Here is a 25,145-nt window from a genome sequence, read left to right on the forward strand (position 1 = left end):
AGAAATGCTCATGAGTCACTACACTTACAAAATGAATCCCCAAAACCACTGCACAATGTTTCCAAAAAAAAGAAAGACGCTTCTAGTAATGTCACTCATTATTAAATGTAAGTCATGTCTCTGCAAAGAATATTCAAGTAGTCATCAAACACTGAGAATGTTTACATTACCAAAGCTTATTTTAATACCTAATAGTTGGTCTATAAATACAACTGTAAGTTCTTTTGTGTGTGTTTATTTTAGCACATACCTTACTCCTGCCTGAAATAAGCACATTGTCTCTGTGTCAAACCAGGTATTTAAGAGGTGTGAACTCCAGCCCAGAGCTTTCCTGTCAATGTACTTTCTGCATAAACTTTCCCTTCAGTCAGTGAAAATCCAAAAACATTAAACCATCTTCACAAATGTACCCTTTGGGGCAACACACTTCCTACCTGTCATTCAGCCACCTTTAAATAAAAACTTATTGAGTCACCAAGCAACTTCCTGAAGATGGATTTCAAGGCTTGACGTTCTGCCAGACACACTGTCTGACTAACCTTTGTGTCTCAGAATTAGATCTGTCCCATCTCCCTTAGGTGCTAATCTTATTTTCTCTCTTATTTTTACCTGGCTGGTTTGTGGACTGGATGGGTCATAAGAAGGTACATAGTTCTTCAGAGTATCCTGAGGATTCAGGTGGGGAGGATATCTGATTGTTGGATGAGAAAAGTAGCTCGATGGGGCTGGAGGAAGGATAGCTTGTGTTGGAAATGGCAACGGTGAAGGTGGAGGTGGAGTTCGAGTTGAGATGACTGCAGAAGACAGAAAAGGAAAGATTGACTCATCAGCTGGTTACCTTATTGCTCCATTCTGATCCTGAAGAATGCTGTGAAACTACAAAACTGGTAACCATTCATTTTTGTCCCCATGATTTAACCAAGCTCTCCTAAATCAACAGTTACTTTTTCATTTTTATTCTCAACACCAGTACGGCTAACTACACAGAGATAAAACATCACTCTAGAAAATTAACAATCTTGCTTCCTGGCTCTGTGAGTGGTTACAAAATCAGTTTCTCTTTTATAGGTTATGTCAATACTTGATAAAACACTTCTTTGAGCAAAGATATATCCCGTTGAAAACATATTCTTTGATTATAAAATCTTTAGGCCGGGTGCAGTAGCTCACACCTGTAATCCCAGCACTTTGGGCGGCTGGGGCAGGTGGATCACCTGAGGTCAGGAGTTCGAGACCAGCCTGGCTAACATGGTGAAACCCCATCGCTACTGAAAATACAAAAAATTAGCTGAGCATGGTGATGGGCACCTGTAATCCCAGCTACTTGGGAGCTTAAGGCAGGAGAATCACTTGAATCCAGTAGACGGAGGTTGCAGTGAGCCGAGATGGCGCCATTGCGCTCCAACCTGGTGACAGAACCCCATCTCAAACAAACAAACAAACAAAAAACATTTTGTCTCATAAGCCCCATCTCAAACAAACAAACAAACAAAAAACACTTTGTCTCATAAGTCCAGAGCAAGTCACAGCATTAAGTAGAGGGCAAAAGAGCCAAAAATTTTCTACCAAAATTAAAAACAAAAGTGAAATTCAATTTCAAATAAAACGTTTCCCTGTACATCCTACCTGGCAATTGTTTAGAAGGAAAGACAATAACTAATACAACATCATCTCATGTCATTTATAATTGTCTGGTCATGGTATAAATGCTTATGAACATTGGAACATAGAGCTAGAAACTCTCCTAATGAAAATGTTTCTTTCAAAACCAAAAGAGCTCTATTCTGCAACTATTTTTCTTTCTACTTTAACTTTTACTATATGTAGTTTAAAAGATATTGTTAATATAAAACCAAGAATAAAACACACAGCAATGAAAATTTAAGCTTTCATATAGGTAAGTATATTACTTTACCCATATATCACATATTTTATAATAATTTTATAAAGGGAAATACTATATAAAACACATGCAATGTGGACAATGTTCAATTTTACTATAACTTCTCAACATTAGTATTCTTATAATTTATTGTTCAGTTTTTGAAATATAAATCTTAAGTTTGAAAGATGGAGAAAGAGTGTAATCGTATGATCATTATCTCTAAAATGTTGAGAGAAATAATCATAGAAATACAAATTAAAACTACCAACAAATATATGTAGAAGTGAAAAGTAAATGTCTTTCTATTTTAATATTTCCCAATTCAAATAATAGGAAATTATAAACGATAAATGTCTAATGTTTTATGAGACAACTTAAAGAATATGAAAAAAAATAAATTTTAGCCATAACCTACAAAGGGAAATCACCTAGAATGATTTATTTCCAACTTTGAAACTATGTGGGTGGGGGGGTGGGACCTATTTATGGGATGTATTGCTTACCTCTCCCAAAAAAAACTTTTTCAGAAGATATAAGAAATTAAGAATGTATAGAATAGAAAAAACATAAATTCAATTTTATAGTCACGACTTTGTTCTCTGAACGTCCAGAGCACTGTTTCTGAAATTCTCTGTATTGTTCTTACAATGCAGATCCCTTGGTCTACACACAGACCTAGGGGATCAGGACCTCTAGGGGTAAGGCACCAAAATGTATATTTTAAATAAGTGTCCATGTAATCTTCCTACATACTGAAGTTTGAGCATCCTCCATCAAATGTATGCATTTCAGAGAACAAATGCGTATTTCTTAAAACAAAACTCTTTACTGAAGTATTACTTTATTTAAGAAGTATACCCATTTGAAAGTATCATTTAAGGAAATACAAACATCTAAGAAAAACTGGGCATCTTTTACTTAGTGTCTAAATGCTCTTAATCTCAGCTCATTTTAACCATGATTTTTGCTCACATCTGTACACAAACCCTGGAAAGATATATACATAGTTCCATCTTGGGTCCTTTAGCTTTTGAGATTAATTTGGCCTTAATAGTTCTGGAGGAGATCTATTTTCAAGTGAAATTGCAGAAATCAAACCCGAACTCACATCTATGGGCAACCTGGCACTGTGCTTGCATGAGCTGTAGGTGGCCTGATACCACTGGGTAAAATGTCGTATTTCAAACTGAGAGTAAAAATGACTACCTTTTCCATAAAAGCCATTCTAGTCCTTTAAAAATAAGAAAAGCAGGCCAGGCATGGTGGCTCACGGCTGTAATCCCAGCACTGTGGGAGGTCAGGGTGGGTGGAGTGGATCACTTGAGGTCAGATGTTCGAGATCAGCCTGGCCAACATGGTGAAACCCCATCTCTACTAAAAAAAATACAAAAATTAGCTGAGCGGGGTGGTGAGTGCCTGTAATCCCAGTTACTCGGGAGGCTGAGGCAGGAGAATTGCTTGAACCTGGGAGGCAGAGGTTGCAGCGAGCCAAGATCACGCCACTACACTCCAGCCTGGAGTAAGACCCTGTCTCAAAAAAAAAAAGAAAAGAAAAAGAAAAAAAAATAAGAAAAGTAAAATACAAGACAAAAAGTTTTCCTTTATTATGAAAGAATACATACACATGTATGTGTATTTCTTGCATACATTATTGCAAAGCCTTATTGTCTTCTTTCCTTCAGTCTTGCTCCTTCCAAAACATCCTTTATAGTGCTATGTGAATTACTTTTTAAAAACACCATTATAATCATGTAACTTCTCCGCTAAAATTATTTCAGTGGCTTCCTACTGCTTCCAGAATAAAATCCCAACAGGTTTTTCAGTACACACAACCTCAGGTACTCTGAGACCGAGTCCTGGATCACTTCTTTGGCTTCATCTCTGGCCAGACGAAGATATTTGTGGATCCTTGGCTATATGGCAGTTGCCTGCTGCAATGGCCTCTAATGCACTGATACATGCTGTTGCCTCTGCCTCCTTTGCCTGCCAGTTTGCCCCTTTTCTTCCTAGTTTGCCTCTCTGCCTCCCAGTTTGCCCCTCTTCCTCTTAGTTTGCCCCTCTGCCTCCCAGTTTGCCCCTCTGCCTTCCATGTTGCCCCTCTTCCTCCTAGTTTGCCCCTCTGCCTCCCACATTGCCCCTCTTCCTCCTAGTATGTCCCTCTGCCTCCCAGGTTGCCCCTCTTCTTCCTAGTTTGTTGTTCCTTCTTGTGGTGAACTTTGCCATCACACTTTAGCTCAGAACACATATCTTCCAGGTATCTAAACCTTCTTCAGGTTATCTAGTCATGTTCAGATTAGATGCCCAGCCAATGACGTGGCCCCACTCTCTCCCCACTATATCCTGAACTCTTTAAGGACAGAAACGATCTTTCTGAACAAGATGCCTAACACAGACCCTAATATACAGATACAGAACAAATATCGGGTGAAGGACCAAGGTGGAGGGCTCATCTAGGTCTCTCCTGTTTCGTTATATAAAAATATACTGTCTACTTTTTTTCACGTTAGAAATAAGAATATTTTCATCAGGTGTCGTAACAAATGGGTGATTTGACTTCTCAGTTAATTCTGTCCAAATATTCAACATTACAAACCTATGAAACAGTTACTGATTTTTTCACCTATCTCAATGGTATAGGTAATAAATGCAAAAGTTCTTATACCACATTTAAGTTGTATAGTCCTCTCTCAATTTCGTAATTTTTTAATGATAGCAATAAAGGCCATGCATTTTTTTAAGTATAGCACCAACAAATATCAACATATACTTACAAACCAAAGCTAATAAGGACTTTATTTTAAAAGATGTTACATTGTTTGCATAAAGATTTAAAAACCAGATTCGATTAGTCAGAAGGATGAGGAAGTGCCTAACTATAAATTTAAACCAATAACAGTTTCACTATTAACATATTTATATATAAAACTTTTTCCACCTAAAATGCAGTCTACTCCTCTCTAGGTAAAAAGTACACAGTGTTAATTATTAGCTGTATCTCATTTTTAATTTTTGAAAGATTTGGTATTAGCTGTTGGTTAAAGTACAAATGTCAAATATTGGATTCATTTTCCTACTTAAATTAAGACATCAGACACAATATCAAGTGTACTAGCCCAAAGGATTTGGGCATATAAAACAAGTGTCAAAAAAAGTACCTTTTATTCTCTGATTACTCTCATATAGATAAATATTGATTTATATGTAGAAAATAACATCTACAGAAATAGTGCCTTACGTCTTAATGCCTTTAGAAACACTCTAAACTCAGCAACATAACTGAAATTCCATCTTTCCCTTAGTAAAATATCAGGACTAATCCTGAAGCTATAATGAAGATAGCTATGTACCCATATTTTCCACATTCTTCTGATAACAATCTTTTTGATTAAGGTAATTTTAAAACACATATTATAAATATTATTTACTTGTATGACTTTGAAAATCTTTCTTTTTTCTTTTTGAGATGGAGTCTCACTCTGTCGCCTAGGCTGGAGTGCAGTGGCACGATCTCGGCTTACTGCAACCTTTGCCTCCCAGGCTCAAGCGATTCTCCTGCCTCAGCCTCCTGAGTAGCTGGGATTACAGGCTCATGCCACCATGCCAGGCTAATTTTTGTATTTTTAGTAGAGACGGGGTTCCACCATGTTGGTCAGGCTAGTCTTGAACACCTGACCTCGTGATCCACCCGCCTCAGCCTCCCAAAGTGCTGGGATTACAGGCGTGAGCCCCTGCACCCAGAGAAATCTTTTCTCATAAATTGAGAAGAAAAAATACTTGATCGGATTGTGCCCCTCACCATATGGGTTGAGAAAATATGGTTGCCATAGCTCTATTTATAAACTTTTGCTCCGTCCCTAAGGGGGTTAGGCCCTACAGACAAGAAGGAGGCTTCTCCTCTATGCTTGAAACTCCTCACCACTGTGTGCAACTCCAGGTATTCCGGGATGGTGGTGCTGGGGGAAAGTGCTCAGTCTTGGGGAAGAATCCTGTGGAGATGCAGAGCTGAACAATGGCTTTTCAGGCTTCTTCATAGTAGTCGGAGAAGACATATCTGCGAGAAACAGAGAAAAACCCAAAGCTCCATGACTTTCTTAAGCTCTAAGGTTCATGTCAACAAATGACAGATCTCATCTTGCAACATTTTAGTATTCTTATACTTTGGCTCTTTTACAAAATATATTCTGAGTGTCAACGATCCAGCTGTCTTGGAGCTCTGAAATATTTGTTCAATCTCCATGGAAGCTAGCAGAAGCCTTCATTAAAATTATCATCAGAATTATTCCCATTACTAAATAAATCTTAAACTTCTAAAAACCCAAAGTCTTGTTTCCTTTAGCCCCTTGGTTCACACAAAGGCCTTCTTTACCTCAGTATTTCATTCTGAGATTTATATGATTCAGAAGATTGTCTTTCGACAGAGGATAACTGCTGCAAATGGGAAAAACAACCTTCAGGTATGTTGGTCACGATATCACTGATTTCACAGCTTTTATGGAAAACTCATTCACTTGATTAGCAAAAAGTACATTCCTTAATTTACTCCTTCTGCAAACGTTTACTGGGTTTCTGTACTGGCCAGGTAAAATGAAGATGTCAAAGAAATTAAAAGTAATTCCTGCTCTAGGGATGCTCACTGTTGGTGAGGAGGAAAATGATTAGAAGAAAATGGTTGTGAATGGTTGAGAGGTACAATGTGTGTTGAGAGCAGGGAAGTTTTGGCATTTGCTGCTACATCGCCAGCTGCGATGTACAGGACAGATATCGTCTCAGTCTCCCCAGGATGAGGAAGGCATTTCTCATTGGTGCCATTTTCAAAATGTGAATGAGGATGACATTCTCAGAGAGGAAATACTCAGAAAAAAAGATGGCACAGAATACACAAGTAAACAGTGTGTGGAGTGGTGAAAGATGAAGAAGAGGAGCAAGCCTCTTGCAGGTCCCACAGGATGACGGGTCTCCAGCTTCCTGTACAAACGTCTGAATGCTTACCCTCATAGGAGAAACGCCATAGATGGGCAAAACATGATCACAATGACAGTTTAAAACAATTCCCCCAGAAACTAAATGGAGGGCGGACTGGCCAAAACAGAGACAGAAATCATGAAGACCACTTCAGAAGACAGATTCATCAATACATTCATTCCATAAATACTTGTTCAAGACCGAATGTATGCCACATGCTGCACTAGCCTGGGACACACTGGTGAACTGGACTCACTTTCGGCTCCTTTAAAGCTTAAAATCTAGTGAGGCGATGTGGACAAGTAAGAAGGAATTGCAAAGGTGCTGTGATAGGAAAAGAATTCAGAGATTTCGGGCTTCATTCACTCATTCATTTCATAAATATTTAATACTGCCAAAAGATAGATCATGAGAGCTTGAAATAAGAATCATGATAGAACTAATGCAATAAATATTTTAACAGGGTTCACCCAATTAAATTATTAAGCAATGTAGACTGTCATCATCTTAGTTGACTAAGAGACTATACCATGCAGTTTGTTGGAATAAGCAGGGAGTTGAGAGATATGCCTTGGTTTTAACATCTTGAGTGCTGTTGACTTTAATGGAAGTTTATCAACTCATAGTAAAATGTTATAAAAATGATGAGCTATAAAATTTGTATTTTATTATGAAAAATGTTAACTGTATTCACAAGTAGACAGAATTGTAATGAATCCTCACGTACCGATAACCCAACTTCGGCAATGATCAACTCATAACAAATCTTATTTCATCTTTATCCCCATCTACACTTTCTCTCCCTGTGGTACTTTGAAGCAAATCCCAGATATCATATAACTTTGCTTCTAAGTAGTTCAGCATGTATCTCTAAAAGAAAATAAATCTTTATTAAAAGAAAAAAACACCAAAACTTTATCACACATACAAAATGTACACAATTTGCATTTTTGAGTTTTCTTGAAATTAGAAAAAGACCTTATGGTGCTATTAATATGAGAAACTAATTATCATTACATTTTACCATTTGAAAAATTACCTAAGCTCTGGTAAAGGCATTCATAAAATTAAATATGCATTTTCAGCATGGTGGCATTTAAAGGATGAATATGCTACTGTAAAGGCAGTAGACATCACAGTCTACAAAAAATGCCAGGCGGATTTGTAGCTGTAAGCTACAATTTGTGACTAACTGGCTGTTGTGAATCTATCAGAACTTTGATGAGTCAGAGAACCATTTCTGTATATCTTTTTCAAAAAAAAAAAAAAAAACCAGAAATAAATTGTTCATAAAACCACAGCAATTAATGCCACTATAAAAAAAGAAAAAAAATTTAAACCATGGTTTAAAAAATAGACAAAGCTCATTTTGCTATCTTCAAGATGCCAAAAATAATACTTAATGTCGCATAAGAGCTATGTGATTTCAAAAGGTAATACTACAAATATAGGCCTCTAACTAATGGATGTAAAATCATAGACATACAGATTATTAAGAGGTGGAAAGAACCTCTATTCTGTCTTTCTTGTTATAGATGATGCAATCACTTGCCATTCCAAATTTTTAATTTAAAATTAACTGTTTGAAAAAGAAACTGGGAACTTTTTATTGATACTCTTCTGCTTTACCTATGTTTAAATATAAATTTCAAGTAAAATGTAACTGGGTAAATCAGTTTCTAAAAATTCCATAGAATAAATAATAAAGCATAATTATACCTCATTTTAAAATAATTTAGGCCGGGTGCAGTGGCTCACGCCTGTAATCCCAACACTTTGGGAGGCTAAGGCGGGTGGATCGCCTGAGGTGAGGAGTTCGAGACCAGCCTGGCCAACATGGTGAAACCCCGTCTGTACTAAAAATACAAAAATTAGCTGGGCGTGGTGGTGGGCACCTATAATCCTAGCTACTTGGGAGGCTGAGGCAGGAGAATCGCTTGAACCTTGGAGGCAGGGGTTGTAGTGAGCCAAGATAGTGTCATTGCACTCCAGCCGCGACAAGAACAAAACTCTGTCTCAAAAAAAAAAAAAAAAAAATTAATGTGACCACAGCTTGAGAAACAGAACAGTGTCGTTCTGGGTATGTCATTTCTGGAGAAGAGGATCAATTAAGGCAACTGCAACTACTGTAACTATATCAGACTTTTCATTAAACTCAGGCAAATTCATGGGTCTCCTTTTGTAAAGGGCACATAAATCAAGGGTGTTTATATAGAAGTTGAAGATGATTATGTAATTTTTAATGTAAATTATATAAATTTTAAGAAGCAAAGCATTTGTATTTTCTTAGCCAAAATGACACACTTGCTTTTACTGAGTAATTATTATGGGTCCATTTATTTTTTCAATTCTTTTTTGGGCATGCACCTAATAATAACGGTACGTTCATAGAGGATTATACAGACCAACACAGAAGAAACAGAATACAATTTGCTGTTCAAGTTGCAAAAGGAACCACAAACTCTTTCCTTAAACAACAAAAGTAACTTATAATAGTAAACATAAGAATGGGAAGGTTCACTGACCAAACTGAAAGGATTTGCTTTAGAGACAGGTGAAGAACGGTAGTATCAGAATATAGGTTTAATTGCCTTTGTTTTCTCATTAAATGAAATTAATTCTTGGCCCATTAATAAAAATACACTGCTACACAGCATGCAGAAGGCACTATGCTAAGAACTTAGGAAGATACAAAAGTGAATCCCCGCTCAAAAAAAAAAAAAAGACAAAAAAACAAAAAAAAAACACCCTCTCTAGACTAGAAGGGGAAATAAAAGATCAATTATCTGGGGAAAAAGTAAAGATAGAGTTTCTAGCTATTACATTTTAATCATGAACCAAACTAGTGTTATTTTAATTTTAATTTATTTTGAATGTCTACAGTCTAAAAGGCTTCATGCCAAGGTGAAAAATGATATTGTTTCTATGTGTAATGTGCTCATATGCTACAAAAAAAAGTTTGAAGAATGAATATATAGAAAAGATACTTTAAAGTGACCTTTCTGTGAAGAAAAACAAATACCACGCTTTACACAATCTACTGTCCCTCAAGCAGGAAGAATACTACATAAAAAGATTAAGTTGAAAATAAGTTGAATAATAATAAAGTTGAATAATGCATAAATATATAATAACTTGAATAATGCATACATAATAATGCATAAGTTGAATAATACATAAAATAAAGCAGCTGAAAAGAGATGCAAAATGATAGGCAAAGGATTAGCTGATGTTTCTACTGGTGGGAGGGAGGCAGGAGTTGCTGGTAGTTGAAGAGAAACAAGTAGAGGCCAGTGATGGCTTAAAATCAGACAGAACAATTTAAATTTGATTTAGAAAGTAATAATTTATAAATGAATTGATTTTAGAAGAAAAAACTTTCCAAAAATTTGACTTTTTTTTTCTGTTCTCACCGCCCTTTTCACTTGTACCTGGCTGAACCAAAAATTTTCTTCCTAGTCTCCTCCAGGCCTTCCTCTCCATGGCACTTTATAAAAACCAGCAGCTGGCATCGTATCCTTCAAACAGTATCTTTCTCATTGCAAGATCTACCACAGTATCACATTTTTAAATAGCTCTTTTTCTTTGTTATTCCATTTTGTTTAAACTTCAGTGAAGCTAATTTTCTTATGGCTTCCATTAGGAGCAGGAGAAATATGTTTTTAACTCTGTGCCATCCCTGATCTATGACATTCCCTTGAACTAGAAAATGAGGCATTTCCACTCTCCTTATTCCACGCATAGAACAATGTTTTATCCACTGAACAAACTTGTTTTCTCCTTAAGTAATCTCTCTTGGAAATCCCTGAGATCTAGATTTCATTAATGATCTTTTGTTTGTATCTTATATTGCTTGATGAATTTTTCATTGTTATTTACTTGTATCCACTGCGTATGCTTTTTTTAAAAAGGTGACTAATGGCTTACCTCCTAAGGAACATGCTTTTACCAAAAACACAAAAAGATGTAGAGGCTGGAAGAATATGCTACTTGGGAAGAGAATGAAAAAAAAAAGTAGAAATGAAAGAAAGAAGAGGTAAAGCAGGCACCGTGTCTAGGCAGCTTATTTTAGAATCTCTGGCATGTGAAAGAAACTGTATTATGAAGTGATGACTAGTAGTGCAGGATGAGAAAAATAACCATAGCCAGTATATCTTAAAATTCATGTTCCATGAATAAATATCACCAGATGAGAAGTAGCTGACTGTAAAGCAAAGAGAAAAGAAAATCAATCACTGAGATTCTAGTAAGTGTGAGGAACTATGGCTATGCATCAAGATGCCAAACAAAACCACGTGGTCCCTGTCTTGGTGATGCTCATGGTTTAGTAGAGAGGGCAGAAATTAAAGACAGAAATGCATTAAATAGTTGCAATCATAATAATACTGGATTGCAGAAAGAATTCTTCTTAATGACAGATTAGAGAGAATAATTTTTTTAAAAAGATTCACATTGATGGTGTTATTCTTCAATGTGTACACCCATGTTTACATTTATAACTGGAAAATTAGCTATGACTTTAGAAACTCATCGTGTAGTTGAATATGGAATAAAAGATCACCATGTAAGAAAAAAGTTCAAGTAGGCTACTGATAAAGTTGGTTCATTTATTCTTAAGCATCCCTTTAAATAAGTATTTTGCAAAATCAAATTATCACACGATTTTTCCTGACCATACTATATATATTTTTGGCACTGTAACATATATACATCCTAGGCCTTGATGTGTTATTTATTTCACGTCATCACTTCAAAGAGATAAGGACTTAAGCAAATAAAGAGTTAGATCAACTCATCTCCCAACAAGGTAATTTCATCTACAAAGGAAGAGAGTCGCTGTGAAACACAGCGTATGTACTCGACTCATCGGCAGCTTGCACAAATTGCGCTCCAGATGTATATCTGTTCAAGTCAGCCCAAGGCAACAATTTTGATCAATTCTAATGTGATAAAATGCTGCAGGGAAAGTGTGCAGAAACGTGTTTACGTCAGCCCTTAATTAAACTGTTGTTCACTTCCAAAGAACCTTAGGAAACACTAATGAGACATGAGTTTTGGCAATTTCTTCATCAAAGCAAAGACCCCTTCCTCAGTCTGTAGCAGCCTGTCATCCAAGTCGCTCCCGGGATAAATGTCACATGGCACTCCAATCAGTTAGCCACCTGTTAGTAGAACTTCATTGAAGTCAACTAGTGATCTAGGGCAAGCTCAAACAGCACCTTAACACCTGCCTGTCTGGGACACCTGCTCCTTTTTCACATATAGTAGAGCAATATGTTAGCTTTTCCAATATGCTCGAGTAGATTAAGGTTACAAATCAGACTACTAAAGCCTACATAGAAAACATACAATTTTCTTTTTTGAAAAATTCCTTTTCTTCCCTATAGTAACACAATTTTTAACAATTTCAAATTAATTATGTAAGAACACGCAAGAATTCTTGAATTTCTGGAAGCTATTATTTTCAGCAAACCATATCACTAAATTAAAATGTATTAACCATGCCAGTCCTATGATTTAGTCCTTTTTCTAGGATAGAATAGTCCTATTTCTATCTGGTTAACAAAGAAGTAAATTCCTTCAAAATGTTTTAAAAGTGTAATTATTTTACATATTCCTAAATTGTCTTCCTTATTTACATGCCATACTTGTAACTTGTAAACAAGTCTAAATGAACCCTATAGAGACAAGTCACCATTTGCTGGCTACTTTTATTCTCCAGTATTTAACGTTAAGGTTTGTTTTATTGCTAAGTGCTTATAAAGCTATAATCATTGTTAAAATATCTACATATTTTCTTTATTTTTCACATTATCAAGCTGCTAAACAATTTACAGGATTCCTCTTTTTCCTTTCTATCTTTTATTATTGTGTAAATTTCATTTATTTATTTAAATTTATTTAATTATTTTAGAGACAAGGTCTCACTCTGTTGCCCAGGCTGCAGTGGCACAATCATGGCTCACTGCAGCCTCAAACTCCTGGGTTCAAGCGATCCTCCCATCTCAGCCTCCCAAGTAGCTAGGACTATGGGCACACGATCACACCCAGCTAATTTGTAAATTTTTAGTAGGGACAAAGTCTGGCTATATTGCCCAGGCTGGTCTGGAACTCCTAGTCTCACGAGATCTCCTGCCTTGGCCTTTGAAAGTGTTGAGATTATAGGCTTGATTCATTGCATACGGTCTTCTTTTTTCCTTTCTTCCTTTTTTTCTTCATCTTCTTTTTTTGTTATTTTTTGGCAGAAGAAAACTCAAAGTGTAATGAAAACAGTTGCAAAACTTCTGTTAACTTTGACCCTCTGGTATGATACTGACCAGAGGAGTTTGATACAGACCAGAGAAGGAAAGAACATACATAAGCACACTTAGCTTAGAGACAGTCCAATGGCTGGGATTTGACAAGATTATATTATATTGACAAGTTTTATCAAGTTGATACACCCTCATAATTTTCAAAGTTCTTCATTTTTTGGACTTTTGAAAGTATTAGACTTTCATAGATTTTTTTTAAAAGAGTTTTCTAGATAAACAAAAACTCTGAATATTGAAAACCTCTTCAGAGACCAAATTCATTGCTGGGTGAAGGCAAAGGTGGTCAACACATCCATCACTCCATTGAAACTCTGTCAAGCAACACAGCACTGAAAGAGAAAAATGAGCTTTAGCTTAACTGGGATATTTCTGCTTTCCATTAAAATGTTGGGTGGAAGCTGGAAGACAACAGGAAAAAGAAAAGAACCATCTGTATAAGATAATAATGTTATTTAAAATAAATAAGGTAGTAAATGACAGGCTACCAAATCAAGTGTGTGGGATGAGTTTTGTAGCTGAAATCTGACATTTTTACTTCAGGCCACAAATCCAGAGTCAGTCCTGAGACAAGGAAACAGTTTGGGCTCTGTTCCCAGAGGACAAGGAGAAGGCAGAGAAGATGACTGCCAACTGAAAGCTAAAAAGACCACAATTTCTCTGCCTCTGTTTTTGCCCTGGGATAAACAGTGTTGAAGAGAGGAAAGTGTCCAGGTTATTTATAAGTGTATGAGTGTTATGTAGAATAAGACAACTATTAAGGCCAGATTGGGGCAGCATCTAGCCTGCCAGATACTTAAGATCCCAGTCCAAAGCTTTGAGGTATTTATTTCTAAGGATCTCCATGTAGAGAATGACAGCAATCCTTACTTTAACAGGTTTTACCTAATAAATAAAGGACTGATGATGGGTGAGGGTGTGTGTCCTGAAGGAGGAAGAAAGGAGAGAGAGACCAAGCAGGCTCTGCCTTTACTTGAAAGCTTTGTACAATCCTTTGTACAATACCCTCTCAATTTCTCCATTTTCTTCACAAATGGAGCTATCCTGGCTCATGGGGAGAAGACACATGGTGTGTTCCTTGATGGTTTAAATAAAATTCAAATGATAAAAAAGAGGTGCATGGGTAAAGTCACAGGGCCATAAAGAATGTTCTATAAATTTCTGTCAGAGGACATGCTTTGAAATTGCTTATAGAGCCATGTGCTACATTGAAATTATTACGGCTTATAACAATGGAGTTAAGCCACTCAGGCACTGCTCTAGGGAATGTAAATTGATAAGATCTATGCCAATATTTACCAAAAGCCTTAGAAATGGACATAAGATTTAACTTAGTAATTCTACAGTAGGAATGTATTTATTCCCGTAGCAAAATTTCACTGAACTTCTACTTGGTGACTTCATGCCAGGCAGTATGCTAGGGACTTGGGACAGTGAAAAGAACTAGACAAGAATCACCCAATCAGATTAGGCACAGAGTTACATGCAGTGATGTTCACTGTATCTCTCTTTATAATACAAAAACTCCAAAACTATCTAAATATTCATCAGCAAAGTAGATATTTAAAATTCTATGGTGTAGCCAAAGTGTGGCATATTATGTACTCATTACAAAGTGGAAGGCTGGATGGGGTGGCTCATGCCTGTAATCCCAGCACTTTGGGAGGCCGAGGCGGGTGGATCAAGTCACCTGAGGTCAGGAGTTCGAGACCAGCCTGGCCAACATGGCGAATCCCCATCTCTACTAAAACTACAAAAATTAGCTGGCCATGGTGGCGTGCATCTGTAATACCAGCTACTGGGGAGGTTAGGGCAGGAAGAGTTGCTTGAACCAGGGAGGTGGAGGTGGCAGTGAGCCAAGATCACGCCACTGCTCTCCAGCCTGGGTGACAGGGCGAGACTCTGTCTCAAAAAAAAAAAAAAAAAAAAAAAGGAAATTGAAGGATATGGTAAAATGCCATTAGATTATAAAGACAAAAAAACTTACAAAATAGCATATATCATATAAGCTCAATTTACTGCAAAAATACATTCATAGAAATAGAACGCACCGAAATGCAGAAAAATACATAGAAAAACAGGCTAGCATATATACAATGAAATACTAACAGAAGTTATCTTTATGTGATGAGATTACAGGTGATTTTTATTTTCTTCTTCATATTTGAAAGTTTGTTTTTTCAAATTCCCCACAAATAACTATTACTTTTACTGTAAAAACTGTAAAATAGATATTTTTGGGAAAATTGTTGCCTGTAGCTCCACAGAATACTATAAATAATTCCCAAAGCTGGGCTGACAATATTGAATCCTGTTAGGTGTCCCACATTACACTGCAAGAAGGAAAGCTTCATATTAGTTTAGGTACTGGATATTGCAAAACTGTAAAATGAAATGCTTCAATGTAACATTTGCAATTTAGTTGGCTACAGGCAAAACAATGTCTTTTGAAAATACAGTGAAGAAAAAAGAATATCTAAATATCTGTGTCTAAGGACTCCTCTAGATGTAAAATTTTATGATTGTGTGGCAAATGTGAACAAGTCCTTCCCACACACTCCAAGTTAACAAAAAGCTCTGAATGTTATGACAAGACATATGGATGTAATCCCACTACAGTAGTTTGATGATGATGCCAGATGATTCAAAAAATAATTAGCTGCCATGTTAAGAAAGTATCTCCTTATATATATATATTTACATTTATCACACTCTAAAATAACACTGGAAAAAATGGCAAGCTACGTTAAGAGGAGATAAGATGTCATCTTCAATTAGATTTCTCAACCATTTTTTTTAAATTTATGAAATCAGTTCCTTTTCAAATGAGAAAGTATGGTGGTCTTTGTGTTAAATAAATGAAATTCTTACTTTAATTACTGAGTTATTTAATCTTAATTACACTTGAGCATATTATTGTATTCCTCAGTAAAGTAAAATCTTTTCTAATAGTTTAAGTCTCTCTTGCCATATATTTTAGCCCAAGCACGGTTAAGTAGCATGTTCCTACAAGTCTCAATTTTATCACTTCGCTATAAAAAAGGTCTCGAGGCTACACCTACACCCAATACCAAGTTAAAGCAAACCTCTTTGAAGCTCACAAATGTCTTCCAGAGACACTTAAAAAAATCCTTTGAATAATGAAGAACAGTGCTAAAACAGTGAATATGGAATAAATGAAAACTACTTTTTAAAAACACTTCAAAATGCTTTTGTCCACTAAGCAATTTCATTTTAACAGACAGACAATGATAAAGGGTCTTGAGTAATGTGTGTAAACCTAATTTGAAAGAGAGAAAAAACATCAAACAATTATGCAGGACTTGGAGCATATTTTCGTCACTTATTAAACACTGGCATAGGTAAATAGCTGCTATTCACCATGCCTCTCGGGAAAACCTCTTGGCTATGGAGTCTTATTAATGTTAAGCATCTGAGAGCCATGGGCTATAAAATAAAATCAATACCATAACCTTAACTGTAAAAGTCAGAAAGATACTGGAAGGGCTCTAATTTAACAAGATTACAGATGAGTTTTCAGAGGAGAACATTTGGGGAAAAGCCATACATTTAAAAACATTTATGCTACAAGACATCTCAAGGTTTTTGTTGTTACTAATGCTGTTATTATCCACGCTGGTAATGGTTAGAGTTGATTTAACTGATGTGTTACTTTAGTGGATTTACAGGAAAGTCCTATAAATGATCTGGAACTTACTTCAAATAAAATCATTACACTGAGGTAGTAAACTAATTGCTTGAGAACAATTATGATTTGATGTGATTTAGTGTGGTAGAAAAAGAATTACAAAAATTTTAAGGTCATCAGTTCAGCAGCTCAATGCAAATATGATTACTCTGCACAATATTCTGTTGCTCTTAATGGAAAAGTAGTCAAAATTGGTATAAATTGTAGTGTTTAAGTTCAACCTAAATCTATATTTTTTTTCTCCAACAAATGTAAATGAAGAAAAAAAGAACATTCTGTCAATGAAATTACTATGATGGCATATTTATTATCCTAATGGTTTTAGAAATCATGTGAAATTCATCAGTAACAAAACCTCTATTTAGTAATGGACCAATTACATTTGTGAGATAATGTCAATGAAACCGAATATTGTCACAGGATAATGGTCTCCCATTGCTACATCCCTAGTCATTTAGAGAAAATAAATGTTGCTGTCTGGCTGAGTCATTTGTTTTCAAAGTAGGAGACACTGATTCCATAACAAGGTTCTGTTATAATAACTCAATCTCTATCAATCATTTGTTGCACCAGAATGGTGCAGGACAGGACATGCATTTGTGAGAACTGCGCATTCCTCAGGTATAAAGCAAAATATACGGGGCCTCCAAGCACATAAGCAGCCCAATTATTGTTATTCAATGAGAGTGTTTAAAATGAACATTCAAAAAATAATTTAAGAAACAGAAAACTTTCTGAATTTTCCAAAAGATCCATGTTAATGACGGCTTTGGAAAGACTCAAGTACTGAAGATCTTCAAATTCTTGGACTCCAATAGATTCAAAATCTAAAATATTAGAACACAAATCTTAGTATACAACTTTGTTATTTTACAGATGGGAAAACTCAAGAGTTACTGAAGTTAAGTGATTTGTCTAAGACCACACCAGTATTTAGAGTTTCCTAATCACAATTACAGTGCACTAGGCTTAAGGCAAAAAGACTAGAACAGAACTAAAAGAAAACATATGTATGATAATAAATATATACTTTATTTTTATATTTTGACAAATATAGCTCATTTTAAACTGGCCATATATCACACACTTCTACTAAAGACATTCTAGAACTTAGGATTATTTATTACTATCTTATTAAATGGAAAAGTGATTTTAACCTGATTTCAGAGCAAGGACTACATGCATGAATCTCTAAGGAGTCTACGAACCCCTGTGAAGTTATGTGCATTCATCTGTATTGAAGTTTCATGCATTAAAAAAAATTGTAACAGAGGTTTTATAATTAGTTTGCAAAATCATAAACATAATATCTCAATGACTTATTTGGGATACAGTATTATATAGCAATAACGAGCATGGGTTTCTTCAGCAAGAGAGCCAGGGGTTCCCATTCTACCTCTGCTACTTATGATCTGCATGATCTATGATGAGTTTCTTAAGCATGATCAGTTTAGTAAGCTGTAAAATGGGGTTTCTGTCAGGTTTAAAAGAAAAATAGATATAAACTTAGCCAAGCACCTGACAGAAAGGAAGGGCTCAATAAATAAATGACAACCACAAATGGCAATAGAATCTTGTTTTCCATGTTTCATTTACATGTGCTTGTTGAAGACAATTTTTAAATTTACATGCTTTCTTCAATAAATAAATAACACAGAAAAAGGAGGCGAATAATCAGTGTAGGCTAAAAAGAAGGTGAAAATACAAATATAATCTATGGACTAAATTTGAGTCCTGATTCAAACAAGACAACCTTTGAGATATTCTAGGGAATTTGAACATGGATTATATGTTAGATTATATTAAGAAATTAATGTTATATTTGTTAAATTGATAATAGTACTGTGATTATGTAAAAAAAAAAAGTTCATTGTTCGAAATATTCAGATCTATTTACATGCAAAATGACAGATATCTGGGATTTGCTTTAAAATACTTTTAAAAACTGGGAGATAGTAAATGCAATAAGACTGGCAAAGTGTTAATAACAGTTGAAGCTGTGTGACAGTACAGTGAGGTTCACTTTACAATTCTACTTTCAATATTCTCCAGGCCAAAAGACTTCTTAAAATTGTGCTTAAACATTCATTTCAAACAAACTCTTCCCCACATTTATTCTTCAAAAGCATTCATATCTTCAGTTTATTTTAGTTGAAAAAATTTTAATCCTGGCACTAATAATAATAGTTGATTTATGTGTGTGTGTGTGTGTGTATGTATATGTAAAATTTTACCATCTCAAAATTTTGTTTTGAGAATTCTTTCAGAACCCTGAAAACTCACAAATACACCTCTATTTTCTCATTCTAGTTCTGTTAGGTCTAACAGAGTCTTCCTTAAGCTTTCCAAGAAAAGTGTCCCTCTGGGAAGACTTGCGAAGCAGTGTTTAAATCTCCTAGGCCATTTGTAAGTTTACATACTGATTCCCTAGGCAGGCTGCAGGATAACAGAAAATGAAAAAAATCCCTTGAACAAAGATCTAGGCTCTGCCATTCATTAGTTGGGACAGGACAGCCTCTCTGATCCTTGGACTACTTAGCTGTGAAACAGGAGCTTGAATTATGTCTTACTAAGGGTTCTAATAATTTGTGATCTGTACCTGAAAAATCAATTTCTTATTGTATATGATATTGGGAGTCTAATAACTCAAATGACACTGGCTTTCCAAACTACTTCACAATAAGCTTAAACATGAACTCAATATGTAAAAAGATTTGAAATAAAACCTTTTCTTATGCAGAGAAACTTTGTATGGCACACTATGACATTATCTCCCATGGGTTTCCCACTTCCCTATTTTAAGCTGTGTTCCATCAAGCTAGAAACCCAGTATTAAATAGAAAGTTGTTATTTTTTCAAACTAATTATCTATTGTGGTTTTTCTGCAAAATGCTGTATTTTCAAATCTTTAAGCCTCCAGAGCACAGAAATATGAGCACGACTTTTCCATATTAATCAGTACCAGCCCTTCTAACATGTATACAAGTTTACCCCATCCAAAATGCTATTCTTGATTAGAACACATGAAGGGGGAACAAACATTCACTAATTAGGAGGCAATGTGGGGAATTCTGATGAAAGCCTTCACCAACAATTTATTGTTTTCCTTTCCATTTTGAAGAAGATCGTGTTGTGATTTTTCAATTACAGCAGTGTAGCAGTGTAGTTGAAGAGGCATTCCTCTTCAGGGTGGAAGCATCCTTGAAGTTTGCTTTCCAATGCCAGGGTAGTACCTAGAAATTCACTTAGAGTTCTTTACTTTTGATATTTTCCATAATAAGAAGCTAAACAAAGAAACTTAAAAATTGGGCTTGAACATCAAATTCAAACCATCTCTTCTTCACATTCATCCACCAAAAGCATTTGTAGCTCTCTTTTTTTCTGGTTCAAAACTTTGGTATTTGAATATTTGCCATTTCATCCCTGTGATACTAACTGCAGGAATATAAGGAATTGTTGGTGTTCTATTTGGTCCCCAAAGAGAACTTTAAAACTTCTTCCAGTATGGTTACTAAGCTGTCTGCACTGCCATTTTCTAGGACTTCATTTAATGTTAATGACTCCCAGATAGCAGTTATTCAACCATCTATGACAGCTGCTTATTCACTCAGCTCCCACAGCTCTAGAGAAATCTTGAGATTATATCATTTGTCAGACTGTGGTTTGGACTAGAGCACTGTGTTCCAAAGTTTGGGCCTAGGATTAATGCTCCCTATGGATTCTTTGATAGAAATAAAAGGTTCTGAAGTCACAAACTTAATAAACATGTTCAGTCAAGAGCCACTCCTGGATATTCACAGCACACAGTAGCATATTAAATATTCTGCATATTCATTTATGAATGAAAATAGTTGAAATTTTTGTTACAAAAAAACTTTGCAAATTTAGCTGACCACTCTTTTGTATGTAGCATATCTTTTCACATTCCTAAACTCACATTAGGAAATGCTGGGGAGCCTGGTGTGGTGCCTCACACCTGCAATCCCATCACTTTGGGAGGCCCAGGTAGGAGGATCAGTTGAGCCCAGGAGTTCCAGAACAGCATGGGTAACATAGTGAGACCCCAGCTCTACACAAAATTTAAAAATTAGCTGGGCATGGTGGCAAGTGCCTGTAGTCCCAGCTACCTGTGAAGCTGAGGTGGGAGGATCACTTGAACCTGGGGGGGTCAGGGCTACAGTGAGCCATGATCGTGCCGCTGCACTCCATCCTGGGCAACAGACAGAGAAAAAACAGAAATGCTGGCCTCTGATTCTGGTTCTGTCAGCATGCTATCACACTCTTATTTACTGTTACTTATTTCCTGATTGAGCACATAATACTAAACTGGCATTTTTACTCTCTAGCCCCCAGTGTTCCCTTGGGCCCTCTGGCTTAATGCGTTTGACATTTAATACTATATCCTTATAGAACTCTAGAAAGTGCAAACTGAAATTTAGCACAACAGTTAAGACTACCTTACTAATGAGAATATTTTCAAAATTATCAAAAATAAATCTCTAGGACTTGGAAACAAATTAAAATTTCAGAAAGACTTAACTGAGAAGACATTTATATAACAGAACTGGAGACTTGTATAAAAATTAGTAGTTTTATTTTTTAGTACCTAAGACACCAGAACACAATGCCTAAATATAGCTTGAGAGTCCAGTTTAATTTTTCAAACTACTCTCCAAATTGTAATAACATGCCAATATACCAAGTAGTGCTAGTTTTTGCTAACATGCCAATTTATTGATTTTATGTAAAGATTTACGGCTCATCGTCCTTAAAACTAAGCTAGCTCTAAAGCATGGAGTCGGTTCTCTCATAATCTTATTTATTTTAGTCCCCGATTTTTCTAAATAGTAAAAGTTACTTTTCCATTCAGGAGGTCAAGGGCTGGAAACTTAATTTATTCATATTTGTGTACCCAATGCCTATAAAAATTCCTCCAATATAATATAGACATTTGACAAATTGTTCATTGAACCAAATTATCTCAAATCCCATACATGTAGAAATTAATAACATTTTACTGCATAAAGTCTTTTTGAATTTATATTTTATCTAAGATTACAGGTTGTTTAAATACTCATCTGGCTGAAAAGCTGTTCAAATTTCCATTTAGAAATCCCCAGCTGAGGGCAACCCGCTGGGGTCCCCCTTCCACACTGTGGAAGCTTTGTTCTTTCACTCTTTGCAATAAATCTTGCTGCTGCTCACAAAAAAAAAAAAAAAAAAAAAAAACAACGAAATCCCCAGCTGCATACTGCAAATATATTTAACATATCATATTTTTTCTCATTAAATGTCTATTAAATGTTTTAGAAATTTTACATTCAGACTTAGATAAATTAGTGACTATTAGAATGGCAGTGGCAAAGTGACCTTATAAAGAATTGTTTTCAATGTTCAAGCATACTATTTATTTGTCTGTTAAATTACTGAGTGATATGGTTTAGCTGTGTCCCCACCCAAATCTCATCTTGAATTGTAACTCCCACAATTCCCACGTGACATGGGAGGAACCTGGTGGGAGGAGACTGAGTTATGGGGGCAGATCTTTCCTGTGTTGTTCTCGTGATAGTGAATGAGTCTCACAAGATCTGAGGGTTTTAAAAACAGGAGTTCCCTGCACAAGCTCTCTCTTTGCCTGCCACCATCCATATAAGACGTGACTTGCTCCTCCTTCCACCATGACTGTGAAGCCTACCCAGCCAATAAACCTCTTCCTTTTGTAAATTGCCCAGTCTCAAGTAGGTCTTTATCAGCAGCATGAAAATGGACTAACACACTGAGCAACGGAATACAACTGGATTTAGTCTCATGAGAGTAACTTGAATTAGACGAAAAACTATGACCTCTTATTTTTCCTCTTATATCAAAAGTTACAAAAGATTGCTCTAAAGAAAAATTTCAAAAAAAGTACATCAACTAGAAATTGAGTCTCTGAATTGACTCAGATGGAAAAAAAAATAAGAAAGACAAGATCTTAATGGAATTTTTTATGGAGGAAGTATTGGAATAAAAGAAATGTTCAACTTGCCTGTTGACAGTCTAATCTGGTTCTATTCATTAATCATTAAAATCTTAAATGAAGAAAAGCAATATCCAAAAAAGAAAGTTTTTAATAGAGAGAGAAGCAGTCAGGAGTTTAAGACCAGGATTTACAGAAGAGACTAAGCAAGGAGAAATATTCTGAAACATAGGAAAGAAATATAACAGTTGTTGGATACCCCTTTGCTAGTGACTCAGTATTATTTTCCTTTTCATTTTGTTCTGTATATATAAAATAATACAAAGTAAAAATATAAATACTACATAATATAGATGCTGACAAATTTAATTTTCATCACTATTCATCAGAAGAAGCAAATTATATAGCCCCCTACCAAATGCTTAACACTATTAAATTATGGTTAGTTTTAAAATATTCATGTCTATATTTGCAGAAGTATAAATTACAATTCTCTTATAATCAGGAAGTTGTAACTTTTTGTTTTGAAAAGAAATTACATAAGGACATAATTAATTTATTATTGTAATATGCTAAAAATACTTTTTCATTAAGTTACTAAAATTGCATGAACATATTATTACATAAACCTAGATTTTGTGTTAATATTTTGCCTGATTTATTTTAAGAACAGAATACATATAATAATTTGGTCATATTATATCCTTTATTTTTGCCTACTCAGAATAAATCTCAATGGTTTAGGTTGGTATTTCAGATTGAAAGGGAAAGCAGAATGCCACATATTGTCCATAATTTTGTTATCTTTGATTCTCATATTTAATAAATCAATTTTGCTAAGGGCTATGTCAAGAACAGATTTTAATGCAAATTTAACACTAACAGAATAAGGCATACCCAGGAAATAATTAATAGTAAATTTTAAGGATTTCTGCCCATTTTAAACACAAGCATATTTTAATTAACCAATAAATAGTTATTGAGTATCAATTAGTGCAGGGCTTTGTAGGAGAAAATATTATAAATACAAGACATGTCAAAGCTATTTCAATGACTGGAGTGGCACTCAATATGTGCTTTAGACAACTCCCTCCATCACAGGGAAGTGTGTCTAAAGAACATTAGAAGATGGACAAGAACAACCATTGGGCATTTTATTTTGCAAATTTTTAAAAAGCAATTTTCTAAGAACAAAAGGACTGCATTGGGCTTAGCAAATTTATAAAGATAGTACTGTACTGCCCGCATTTCTTCATTGTAGTTGAGTCTTCTTCCCACAATGGCTTATTGTGCACATTACGAAGTCTTCAGGGTCTTCAGAATTAAAGTGACAGAGTGTGTGTGTGTGTGTGTGTGTGTGTGTGTGTGTGTGTGTGTTTAAAATGCACATTTGAGAATGGAATATTCTTCCTTCCTCTAAACATAATATGCCTTTACAGACTCCTCCAATAAGTCTAGTCATCTTGACAAAAGAAAATCACCAAGACAATACAATGTTTTCACAAAGAAAAAGAATGACAGTTTCCCTTCTACTTTTCAAAAATGTTTCATAATATGATTTGAGATTGGCTTTATTCAGTAGGCTTAAAGAGGAATCAATTCTTACAAAGTGACACTCTCTATAATAAAGAACACCTACACTTCTGAATAACGCATCCATTCCCACACATTCACAAGGTTATTACCATTAAAATCTTCTCCAGAAGAATTTTCTGACAAGGAAAGTATGGCTTTGTTTAGAATAAGCTGACAATGTCAGTAAAACAAGCAATAAAATATAAAGGGTTGAGGGTTTTGTTTTTCGTTTCACTTCTGCAACTCTGGTAAAAGTCTCTATTATATCTTGCCTTCACTAATGAGACTGGTGTTCTGCCTATCAATGGTTCATTTATACAACTACTTATTGTACTCCTACTACGCACCAAGTGTGTGTTAAGTGCTGGTTACAGTAATAGTCAAAATAGACAAGGTCCCTTCTCTCACAGTGTAGACAGATTTAGACAACTAATCCCATAAATAGCTATATGATTACATATTATGAGTACAATGAAAGAACAGTACTGGGTGTTGACAGAGAAAACTAGGAAGACAGAATTTAGACTGAAATTTCTCAGTTTAAGCTGGGCTCTGAAGGATGGCAAAGAGTTTGCCAGATGAAGAGTTAGCAGAGCATTCCAGAGGTCATAACTTATAGGAAGGTCCCGGTTGTTGAATTCGCAACTTCAAGTAAAGCAGTGGGCTCAAGTGCAAGCAAGAGGAAGCAGAATGTCACCTGCCAAGGCTATGGCCTGTTGGTGATATGAAAAGATTCCCATTTTT

The 25,145-nt window shown here is 35.4% G+C and overlaps 1 protein-coding gene across 32 annotated transcripts in view; it reads right to left on the reverse strand.

Moving 5' to 3' along the window:
- The window catches only part of NFIB (nuclear factor I B), a 450,235-nt gene that overhangs the window by 37,988 nt on the left and 387,102 nt on the right, over positions 1-25,145 (reverse strand). For 27 of the 32 annotated variants that reach the window (NR_161382.1, NR_161384.1, NR_161385.1 and 24 more), the window contains 2 exons: positions 5,802-5,936; positions 610-794 (listed from right to left, as the gene is read on the reverse strand). Coding sequence is in view for 28 of the 32 variants with exons in the window: in NM_005596.3 (NP_005587.2) it covers positions 610-794; positions 5,802-5,936 (320 nt within the window). In the remaining 4 variants the exon portion in view is untranslated. The remainder of the gene's footprint in view (positions 1-609; positions 795-5,801; positions 5,937-25,145) is intronic. The other 5 variants (NR_161383.1, NM_001369473.1, NM_001369477.1 and 2 more) reach the window with 1 other exon arrangement.

Source organism: Homo sapiens, chromosome 9 (genome assembly GCF_000001405.40).
Source record: "Homo sapiens chromosome 9, GRCh38.p14 Primary Assembly".
NCBI classification, from domain to species: Eukaryota; Metazoa; Chordata; class Mammalia; order Primates; family Hominidae; genus Homo; species Homo sapiens.